Below are 11,982 nucleotides of genomic sequence, written 5' to 3' on the forward strand. Positions count from 1 at the left end.
GTCTTTTTACTTTCTGGGTGGTGTTATTTGAAGTCAATTTTTTTAAATTTTGGTGAAGTCCAATTTTGTTTTTGCCACTTGTACTTTTTTCTTTTTTTTGAGACAGGGTCTCACTCTGTCACCCAGGCTGGAGTGCAGTGGTGCAATCATGGCTTACTGCAGCCTTGACCTCCTCAGCTTAAGTGATCCTCCCTCCTCAGCCTCTGGAGTAGCTGGAGTAGCTGGGACTGAAGGCACATGCCACCATACCCAGCTAATTTTTTTATTTTGTTTTGTAGACACAGGGTCCCCTTATGTTGCCCAGACTGGTCCAAACTCCTGCGATCAAGGGATCCTCCCGCTTTGGCCTCCCAAAGTGCTGGGATTACAGGCGTGACCCACCATGCTCGGCCACTTTTATTTTTGGTGTCATATTTACGAAATCGTGGCCGGGCGCAGTGGCTCACGTCTGTAATCCCAGCACTTTGGGAGGCCGAGGTGGGCACATCACCTGAGGTCGGGAATTGGAGACCAGCCTGACCAACATGGAGAAACCTCGTCTCTAATACAAAATTAGCAAGGCGTGGTGGCACACGCCTGTAATCCCAGCTACTTGGGAGGCTGAGGCAGGAGAATTGCTTGAACCCAGAAGGCGGAGCTTGTGGTGAGCCGAGATTGTGCCATTGCACTCCAGCCTGGGCAACAAGAGCAAAACTCTGTCTCAAAAAAAAAAAAAAAAAAAATCGCTTCCTAATCCAAAGTCACAAAGATTTATCTATGTTTATCTATGTTTTCTTCAAAAAGCTTTATAGTTAGTTCTCATATTTAAGTCTCTGATGCATTTCGAATTAATTTTTGTGTACAGTTTGAGTAGTACCAGCTACTCTGGAGACTAAGGTGGGAGGATCACTTGAGCCCAGGAAGTCCAATCTAGAGTGAGCCATGATTGAGCCACTGCACTCCAGCCTGGATGACACAGAGGGACCCTGTCTCAAGGAAAAAAAAAAAAAAAAGCTGGGCCGGGTGGCTCATTCCCTGTAATCCCAACACTTTGTTAGGCTGAGGCAGGTAGATCACTTGAGGCTAGGAGTCAAGACTAACCTGGCCAACACGGCAAAACCCCGTCTCTACTAAAAATACAAAAATTAACCAGGAATGGTGGCATGCACTTGTCCCAGCTACGCGGGAGGCTGAGGCAGGAGAATTGCTTGAACCCCAGAGGCGGAGATTGCAGTGAGCAGAGATCACACCACTGCACTCCAGCCTCAGCGAGCATGAGAAACAGAATAAATAAAAAGTTTAAAAAATTTTTATGTAGGTCCCATTTTGATCTTTTCCCTGAGTTTATTAACTGTGTATGCATGTTGCTGGAGTTTAATTTTATAATTTAATCTTCAACAGAATATTTGGTGGGCCCAGGATTGATTTTGTGGAGTCATTAACGTGGTCAGTGATGTATACAATAACTGCTGGAACTGTGGGCCTCCTGTTCTGTGTAGAGGGTGCCAACTTCTTCAGATACAAGGAAGAAAGCTGTATTTTGTTTAATAGAAATAAAAAGATGTCACATAGTTTCATGTAAGTCCTAATAAGTGTTGAAGGGTGCAGATGGAAACTCAGGAGTTGAAAGGTGGATGGCTGTGCCGTTCCTTCCTCTTTGTAGGTGCATGAATTCTTTCTTAGGGGCAGAGCCTGTTGGAGATGTTTTTAAAAAATCCCTCAACCAAATGAGGAATATATTCACCTTGTTGACTCACAGAGGATACGAATCATATACAAGCAGATGGGGATTCAGAGAGCAAATGTTTTCAACTGCTGTCAAGGGAGTGTGGAGGTTGGGTGAGGGGAAAGAACTGCATGAGACCCAAAGAGGGCAGGGAAGGGGGGTCAAGTCAGAAGAAGCAGAGGCACCTACCCGGATGTTCTTTTTAGATGTGGCATTTTGAGCGTCATGATTTGGAGAGTTGCTGTGACTGTGCCGAGCTGGGACAGAGGGAAGAAGGGAACTGCTTCAAGAGGGGGAGCAGCAGGGAAGAGGGGCATTGGTCTCTCCACATATCTCAGGAGGGCTCTCCTCCCACACTCATTAAAACCTCATTTCTTCCCAAAGCTCAGCTCACACATTGCTCCCCAAAAAGGCTGCACTGATGACAATGGTCTTTCACCCCCTTCTCTTGATCCCCTCTGTGCTCACCCCTCTGACCTATCTTTACCACACCCTGTTTCCTTTCAGAATCAGCTTCCTTCTGTCTCATCCAGTGAACTGTGAGCTCCCTAAGAAAAGGAATAGGGCCAGGTGCAGTGGCTCACACCTGTAATCCCAGCACTTTGGGAGGCTGAAGCGGGTGGATCACCTGAGGTCAGGAGTTCGAGACCAGCCTGACCAATATGATGAAACCCCATCTCTACTAAAAATACAAAAATTAGCCAGACATGGTGGCATGAGCCTGTAATCCCAGCTACTTGGGAGGCTGAAACAGGAGAATTGCTTGAACCCTGGAGGCGGAGGTTGCAGTGAGCCAAGATTGCACCATTGCACTCCAGCCTGGGCAACAAGAGCAAAACTGTCTCCAAAAAAAAAAAAAAGAAAAGAAAAAGAAGAAAAAAGAAAAGAAAGCAAGAAAGCAAAGAAAGCAAGAAAGCAAGCAAGCAAGCAAGAAAAGGAATCGAGTCTTGCCCTTGTTTTTCACCCGCAGTGTCTATAGATATGCCATACACAGAAGACAGACGGATTTGCAAATGCTTGGTTAACAAATGATTTCAGAGGTACAATAAGGAAACAAAATGGCTTTGCAGAGTGGGCATCCGAGTGTACTTTTGAAGAGTAGTTCCTGAGCATTCCCCAGGTGGGCACCAGTGATGGAGGCAAAGCTCTCCAGGCAGCAGAAGACCATAGAGCAGCCGCCCACCTAGAGCGTTAGTGCCACCTCCTCTCTGAGGGCTGAAGTTTCCAGGTCGAAACTTCTGTGCTCGACCTGGAAGTTTGTGCTCAGCCTGGGAGCTTCACCAGGGAAACTGTGGCAGGAGACAAGGTCTTGATTCTGAGGCCTCTCTCTCAACCCAGTACAACCTCTCTGCTAGAATTTGAAAAAAAAAACATGGTATTTGTGGTACCCTCAGAGACTGGATTTAAGGGACATGTGTTGCCTAAGTCCCATCTTCAAAATGACCCAGCAGTGACACTGTTCCTTTTTACTCTGTAGGGCACATTTCTCACCTGCATTATGGCCCAGGAATCTCAAGTCACCATCCCTACCATGGTCACCCCAATTTGAAGCAGCCTGGTGACCCCAGGCAGGAACTGATCATCAAGGGAGGCTGGAGGCAGGAGGATTTTAAAAGAAATCCAACAGCAGGACCAAAACAAGGAAAAAGGGGAGGCAGGAGGGTGGTCAACTAGAGACCCAGGAGAGGATTCCAGGATGGTGGGAAGCCCTCACCCAGCAAGACTGGTGGAGGCCCCATCTGTGCTCTGCCCCTTTCAAGAGGTTTCCTTTGCACCAACACCCACCCCCACCCTGGCCACTGACCTGCAGGAACAGCAGATATGACTGTGGGGCCCCAAGGCCTGCGGGAACCCAGGGACCGAGAGAAGGCAGGTGTTGGGTTGAGCAGGATCCAGGTTAGCCGGGGAGGGACGTGGGAGTCCTTGTCAGAGAAGGATGTGAAGGGATTGGGATGAAGGAGTCCAGGAGGAGCAGCAGGACCCGAGGCCCTCCCTCTGCACACACCCTTTTCCTGCTGGGCTCAGGCCCTGGCAACAGTGCCTTATTTATTTCCCCCACCCTTGCTCAGGCTTAGCCAGTCCTTGCTCCAATGATGGGGGAGGGGTCACAGTGGGACTCTTGTGACATCACTACATCCCACCCCTCATTCTTTCCTGTGAAATCCTCCTGGAGCCATCTCTGTCCTATGCCCTGTCCCAGAGAGCCCCCCTGCTATAATGCTTCCTTCCTTCCTTCTAGCCACTGCCTCCCTCGCCCCATCCACCCCCCAACTATTCAGTGTCCCTCAGTAAACGTCCCAAGTTTGCAACAGAAAATGAAAATGTAACTCAGAAAAGGTGGCATTCACACTTCACACCTTCATACAGAAATCCAAGCAAAGCTCTTGAATCCAGAATCAGGATGCCTTCCAGAGCCAGCTGTTTCAAGACGCTGCTAGAGGCAGTGAAGAGCGCAGGAGGCCTGCCTAGCAGCTGCAGGGAGGGGCGGAGGATTGGGGTCGCCCTCTCAGGGAGGGCAGAGGAGGGTTAGAATGCATCTGACCCTGCATTCTAAAATACCTGCTAGCACTGGATGCTGCGGTGTCCATGGTACTGAAGACAAGACTCTGCTGCCTGGTCCACCACTGTTATGACTACAGTGGCCCCCAGTCTAATGTTGCCATCAAGATTGGTAGTCCAGGCCGGGTGTGGTGGCTCACACCTGTAATCTCAGCACTTTGGGGGGCCAAGGTGGGAGGACTGTTTGAGCTCAGGAGTTCCAGAACAGCCTTGGCAACATGGCAAAACCCCATCTCTACTTAAAAAAGAAAAAAAAATGAGCCAGGCATGGTGGCTCACGCCTGTAATCCCAGCACTTCGGGAGGCCAAGGCGGGTGGATCACCTGAGGTCAGGAGTTTGAGACGAGCCTGACCAACAAGGAGAAACCCTGTCTCTACTAAAAATACAAAATTAGCCGAGTGTGGTGGCTCATGACTGTAATTCCAGCTACTCGGGGGGCTGAGACAGGAGAATTGCTTGAACCTGGGAGGCGGAAGTTGCAGTGAGCCAAGATCATGCCATTGCACTCCAGCCTGGGCAACAAGAGCGAATCTCCATCTCAAAAAAAAAAGGCAATCTAGATGCACTGGATATGACCAGCAGAAACATGGAGAAACACAGTTCTTAGTGGGGTCAGGCCTTGTGAAGTAGCAGCCTGCGGTTTGGACGAGGCCAGCCTGGCTCTGTGGTCACCCACAGTCAACCCCACCACAGGGGCTGCAGGGACTGAGAGAAGGGTTGGAGTGTGTTATCCAGCTCTTCTGAGAAGCAGACACCAAGACAGGATTAAATTGCAAGGGTTTTAGTGGGAGATATACCTTTGTGAAAAGAGTTACAAAAGACTGGGAGAGCCACCGGACCATGAAGCAAGTCTCACTCCCAATGTGAGGGAGAGAGGGGAAGAGAAGGGGTGGGAGCACTCCGGACCACAGTTCTGAGGAAAATCCAGAGCCTTCACCAACTATTTGAAACAGTCAGGCAGCAAAGTAGGTCTGGGCAACCAGCCTGGCCTTAGCATCCCCACCACACTCGGTCATCAGAGAGCTGCCGCAGGAGGCCTGGCCTGATGCACTACAAGGTAGATACCTGTGAGGAGCCACACTCCCTCCAGGAGGTCAGCCACAGCATCCTGGACACTGAGGTTGGGGACCACGGATGGAAGTGTAGCTGAGAGAACCCAGAGGTTCCTGGGCCCAGGGGCCCAAGCCAGGACCAGCAAGAGAACACTCACAGAAAGAACTAGAAGACCTCCTTGCTGGTGGGGTTGTCTTAGAAGGGAGCAGGCAGGTGGGACCAGAACCTCCTGCAAGAAACTAGAACATCATCTGTGGGGCTCAGAGATTGGGTGGTGTCAGGAAAGAGGCTCTTCTCTATTTATTTTTAAAATCAAACTTATACATTCACAGGGAACAATCAAGTAGTCAAAAAACACCTAAGAGGCTTTATCTCAGAAAACTGCAACTCTGTCCCCCTTTCCTCATTGCCTGCCCACAAAACCATTTTCCTGTCTTTGAGCTGAGTCACAGACCTTCTTCTGTGCTGTCTCCTTCTCCCAGGGTGATGGTGACCCCCTCTGTTCCCTGAGCCCTTATAGCTATGCGGGATTGCTGCATTGGTCATTTGTTGCAGCAATTTGGTAATAATTTGACACTTAACTTTGTTTTCCACATATATAGCATCTTATAGAAGATTAAATGAGATTTTAACTCCTGGTGCCGATTTTCTCCAGAATTGATATTTATGTTAAACCCCTGATAAAATACATGTTGGAGTTCTTTGGCACTATCCCCACCACAGTGTTAGGGCCTCTATTCAAACCCCTGCAATGCCTAAGAGACCCCACATTTATCCAAGGGTCTGCCCTGTTCCCACATGAACTTCTAGCACCAATCTTTCCTCCAGTGCCTCCCAGCTGTACTTGTTGGGGACACATGAACACCAGGAATCTCCAAATCATGCTTATATTCTTCCCAACATAAACTTGGACCTCATTCCCCCCGATTCCACTTCACACTGCTGTCGAGCTCTTAAGGTTTGAAGCCCCTGCACTCAGAGCTGCAGATCCCCCCGTTTGACTCCAACCCCTCTCCTCCCGGAGTCTGGCCCTCTCCTCAGGGCTCGATTTCCCTTTGATTCTATTGATCACATCTGTACATTTAGCATGAATAAGATGAGAGGGGACTCGGCAGTATTGGGAGAGGCAGCAGGGGAGGTTTCTTTACCATCACCATGGAAGCCTCAGGCCATGTGCACTGGGTGTGGCTTTGGAAGTGGTGGAACCAGAGAGCCATTCTTAGGCCCTGGGTTCACCCCAGCTCACTGGGACTCTCAGATATTAGCAATCTCTGGAAGGCAGCCTTGTTGTTGAGACCCAGTTTCAAGGGCTTACCACATTCCCAGCTCTGTGTGATCTTGACACGTCCACCCTCTTTTTTTTTTTTTTTATCTTTTTTTAATCTCTAAAGTGTGGGACATGTCTTTATTCCATAAGGGAGAACAACAGGCAGGTGGGATGGAGTGAGAGATCGGCTGGAGGCGGAAGAAGGCAAGGAATATTGCTGAGATAGTTTTCAAATCAATGGAGGTGGATGTCCATGGATGAATCACAAAGGGAGGGAATGGGTGCAGAGGCCTTACTGAGATCCAACGACAGTAGCTAAAATATCAGATTTTTATTTTTATCTTTTTTTTTTTTTTTTTGAGATGGAGTCTTGCTCTTTCGCTCACGCTGGAGTGAAGTGGTGTGATCTTGGCTCACTGCAACCTCTGCCTCCCAGTTTCAAGCAATTTTCCTGCCTCAGCCTCCCGAGTAGCTGGAATTACAGGGGCCCACCACCACACCCGCTAATTTTTGTATTTTTAGTAGAGATGCGGTTTCACCACGTTGGCCAGGCTGGTCTTGAACTCCTGACCTCAGGCGATCCACCTGCCTCGGCCTCCCTAAGTGGTGGGATTACAGGCGTGAGCCATCATGCCCAGCCAATATCAAATTTTTGTTTGTTTGTTTTAAGACAGAGTCTCACTCTGTAGCCCAGGTTGGAGTGCAATGACGGGATGTCAGCTTACTGCAACCTCTGCCTCCCAGGTTCAAGTGATTCTCCTGCCTCAGCTTCCTGACTAGCTGGGATTATAGGTGCTTGCCACCACACCCAGCTAATATTTTGTATTTTTTTTAGTAGACACAGAGTTTCACCGTGCTGGCCAGGCTGGTCTCGAACTCCCGACCTTAGGTGATCCACCCACCTCGCCCTCCCAAAGTGCTGGGATTACAGGCATGAGACACCGCGCCTGGCCTCAAATTTTTAAAAGGACAAAACCAGTGAGAAACCTTTTGAAAATATGATTCTAGAAAATAAAGGATGGGAGGAGTAGTGCAAAAGCTCTGAGGAGAGGTGAGCCCTGGGAAGACAGTTGAAGACTCTGTGAGCAACCAGCACCTGAGCCAAAAAAGACAGTATTGATTCTCCAGACCTGAGACAAGGCAGGAGGAAATCTGGGCATAGAGATATAGTTCTCTAGGCCCTATGCTGCCTCTGATCCCTTTCTTCCCAAAATCCTACAAATAGGACTCTAGTATTGAGTATACCCAGGGCCACCAGGGGACTGTGAGGCCTAGGGAGCCAGGGTAGAGCTGGCTGCTTCAAAAGACGAGAAGTCGTGGGGATAAGGAAAGTGGAAGGACAACGCCTCAGTGTAAAGTCCAAAATCATGTACAAGCCCCGTTCCATGATGTTAATGTCCTTGGCCCTTTGATGATAATTACTTAGTGACTCAACATGACACTAAAGAAAGGAATGCAAACATCAGTAACCAAAACGAGGCCCACTACCCTAGAGGCAAATATGAGAAAATCAGAAAACAAGTCTTCAAGTGGAAGTGCCTCAGTGAATTTACACTTGTTCGAGCCCACAGAGCTAATACCAAAGCTTCACTTAGAAAACCTCTTATGTCGGAGCTGGTACCATTCCTTCTGAAACTATTCCAATCAATAGAAAAAGAGGGAATCCTCTCTAATTCATTTTATGAGGCAAACATCATCCTGATATCAAAGCCTGGCAGAGGCACAACAAAAAAAGAGAATTTTAGACCAATATCCCTCATGAACATCGACGCAAAAATCCTCAATAAAATACTGGCAAACCGAATCCAGCAGTACATCAAAAAGCTTATCCACCATGATCAAGTGGGCTTCATCCCTGGGATGTAAGGCTGGTTCAACATACACAAATCAATAAACGTAATCCATCATATAAACAGAACCAATGACAAAAACCACATGATTACCTCAGTAGATGGAGAAAAGGCCTTTGACAAAATTCAACAGCCCTTCATGCTAAAAACTCTCAATAAACTAGGTATTGATGGGACGTATCTCAAAATAATAAGAGCTATTTATGACAAACCCACAGCCAATATCATATGGAATGGGCAAAAACTGGAAGCATTCCCTTTGAAAACCGGCACAAGACAGAGATGCTCTTTGTCAGATGAGTAGATTGCAAAAATTTTCTCCCATTCTGTAGGTTGCCTGTTCACTCTGATGGTAGTTTCTTTTGCTGTGCAGAAGCTCTTTAGTTTAATTAGATCCCATTTGTCAATTTTGGCTTTTGTTGCCATTGCTTTTGGTGTTTTAGTCATGAAGTCCTTGCCCATGCCTATGGCCTGAATGGTATTGCCTAGGTTTTCTTCTAGGGTTTTTATGGTTTTAGGTCTAACATTTAAGTCTTTAATCCATCTTGAATTAATTTTTGTATGAGATGTAAGGAAGGGATCCAGTTTCAGCTTTCTACATATGGCTAGCCAGTTTTCCCAGCACCATTTATTAAATAGGGAATCCTTTCCCCATTTCTTGTTTTTGTCAGGTTTGTCAAAGATCAGATGGTTGTAGATATGCAGCATTATTTCTGAGGACTCTGTTCTGTTCCATTGGTCTATATCTCTGTTTTGGTACCAGTACCATGCTGTTTTGGTTACTGTAGCCTTGTAGTATAGTTTGAAGTCAGGTAGTGTGATGCCTCCAGCTTTGTTCTTTTGGCTTAGGACTGACTTGCCAATGCAGGCTCTTTTTTGGTTCCATATGAACCTTAAAGTAGTTTTTCCCAATTCTGTGAAGAAAGTCACTGGTAGCTTGATGGGGATGGCATTGAATCTATAAATTACCTTGGGCAGTATGGCCATTTTCACTTTACTGATTCTTCCTACCCATGAGCATGGAATGTTCTGCCATTTGTTTGTATCCTCTTTTATTTTGTTGAACAGTGGTTTGTAGTTCTCCTTGAAGAGGTCCTTCACGTCCCTTGTAAGTTGGATTCCTAGGTATTTTATTCTCTTTGAAGCAATTGTGAATGGGAGTTCACTCATGATTTGGCTCTCTGTTTGTCTGTTATTGGTGTATAAGAATGCTTGTGATTTTTGCACATTGATTTTATATCCAGAATCTACAATGAACTCCAACAAATTTACAAGAAAAAAACAACCCCATCAAAAAGTGGGCAAAGGATATGAACAGACACTGCTCAAAAGAAGACATTTATGCAGCCAAAAGACACATGAAAAAATGCTCATCATCACTGGCCATCAGAGAAATGCAAATCAAAACCACAATGAGATACCATCTCACACCAGATAGATGGCGATCATTAAAAAGTCAGGAAACAACAGGTGCTGGAGAGGATGTGGAGAAATAGGAACAATTTTACGCTGTTGGTGGGAGTGTAAACTAGTTCAACCATTGTGGAAGTCAGTGTGGTGATTCTTCAGGGATGTAGAACTAGAAATACCATTTGACCCAGCCATCCCATTACTGGGTATATACCCAAAGGATTATAAATCATGCTGCTGTAAAGACACATGCACACGTATGTTTATTGCGGCACTATTCACAATAGCAAAGACTTGGAACCAAGCCAAATGTCCAACAATGATAGACTGGATTAAGAAAATGTGGCATATATACACCGTGGAATACTATGCAGCCATAAAAAATGATGAGTTCATGTCCTTTGTAGGGACATGGATGAAGCTGGAAAGCATCATTCTCAGCAAACTATCGCAAGGACAGAAAACCAAACACTGCATGTTCTCACTCATAGGTAGGAATTGAACAATGAGAACACATGGACACAGGAAGGGGAACATCACACACTGGGGCCTGTCATGGAGTGGGGAGATTGGGGAGGGATAGCATTAGGAGATATACCTAATGTTATATGACAAGTTACTGGGTGCAGCACACCAACATGGCACATGTATACATATGTAACTAACCTGCACATTGTGCACTTGTACCCTAAAACTTAAAGTATAATAAAAAAATAAAATAAAATAAAATAAAAAATTAAAAAAAATAAAAGACAGGGATGTCCTCTCTCACCACTCTCCTATTCAACATAGTGTTGGAAGTTCTGGCCAGGGCAATCAGGCAAGAGAAAGGAATAAAGGGTATTCAATTAGGAAAAGAGGAAGTCAAATTGTCCCTGTTTGCAGATGACATGATTGTATATTTAGAAAACCCCATCGTCTCAGCCCAAAATCTCCTTAAGCTGATAAGCAACTTCAACAAAGTCTCAGGATACAAAATCAATGTGCAAAAATCTCAAGCATTCGTATACACCAATAACAGACAAACAGAGAGCCAAATCATGAGTGAACTCCCATTCACAATTGCTTCAAAGAGAATAAAATACCTAGGAATCCAACTTACAAGGGACGTGAAGGACTTCTTTAAGGAGAACTACAAACCACTGCTCAACGAAATAAAAGAGGACACAAACAAATGGAAGAAAATTCCATGCTCATGGGTAGGAAGAATCAATATTGTGAAAATGGCCATACTGCCCAAGGTAATTTATAGATTCAATGCCATCCCCATCAAGCTACCAATGACTTTCTTCACAAAATTGGAAAAAACTACTTTAAAGTTCATATGGAACCAAAAAAGAGCCCACATTGCCAAGACAATCCTAAGCCAAAAGAACAAAGCTGGAAGCATCGCGCTACCTGACTTCAAACTATACTGGAAGGCCACAGTAACCAAAACAGCGTGGTATTGGTACCAAAACAGAGATATAGATCAATGGAACAGAATAGAGCCCTCAGAAATAATACCACATATCTACAACCATCTGATCTTTGACAAACCTGACAAAAACAAGAAATGGGGAAAGGATTCCCTATTTAATAAATGGTGCTGGGAAAACTGGCTAGCCATATGTAGAAAGCTGAAACTGGATCCCTTCCTTACACCTTATACAAAAATTAATTCAAGATGGATTAAAGACTTAAATGTTAGACCTAAAACCATAAAAACCCTAGAAGAAAACCTAGGTAATACTATTCAGGCCATGGGCATGGGCAAGGACTTCATGACTGAAACACCAAAAGCAATGGCAACAAAAGCCAAAATTGACAAATGGGATCTAATTAAACTAAAGAGCTTCTGCACAGCAAAAGAAACTACCATCAGAGTGAACAGGCAACCTACAGAATGGGAGAAAATTTTTACAATCTACCCATCTGACAAAGGGCTAATATCCAGAATCTACAATGAACTCAAACAAATTAACAAGAAAAAATCAAACAATCCCATCAATAAGTGGGCAAAGGATATGAACAGACGCTTCTCAAAAGAAGACATTTATGCAGCCAACAGACACATGAAAAAATGCTCATCATCACTGGCCATCAGAGAAATGCAAATCAAAACCACAATGAGATACCATCTCACACCAGTTAGAAT

General features: G+C 45.6%; 1 long non-coding RNA gene across 1 annotated transcript; it reads right to left on the bottom strand.

Moving 5' to 3' along the window:
- Nucleotides 1-1,508: 1,508 nt before the first annotated feature.
- On the bottom strand, nucleotides 1,509-3,636 carry LINC01729 (long intergenic non-protein coding RNA 1729). The gene is made up of 3 exons (NR_109860.1): nucleotides 3,510-3,636; nucleotides 1,895-1,962; nucleotides 1,509-1,671 (listed from the first exon to the last, which is right to left on the bottom strand). It is a non-coding gene; the product is annotated as a long intergenic non-protein coding RNA 1729 (long non-coding RNA).
- Between the last annotated feature and the right edge of the window lie 8,346 nt (nucleotides 3,637-11,982).

The sequence above is a fragment of the Homo sapiens genome, chromosome 20 (genome assembly GCF_000001405.40).
Source record: "Homo sapiens chromosome 20, GRCh38.p14 Primary Assembly".
Classification (NCBI taxonomy): domain Eukaryota; kingdom Metazoa; phylum Chordata; class Mammalia; order Primates; family Hominidae; genus Homo; species Homo sapiens.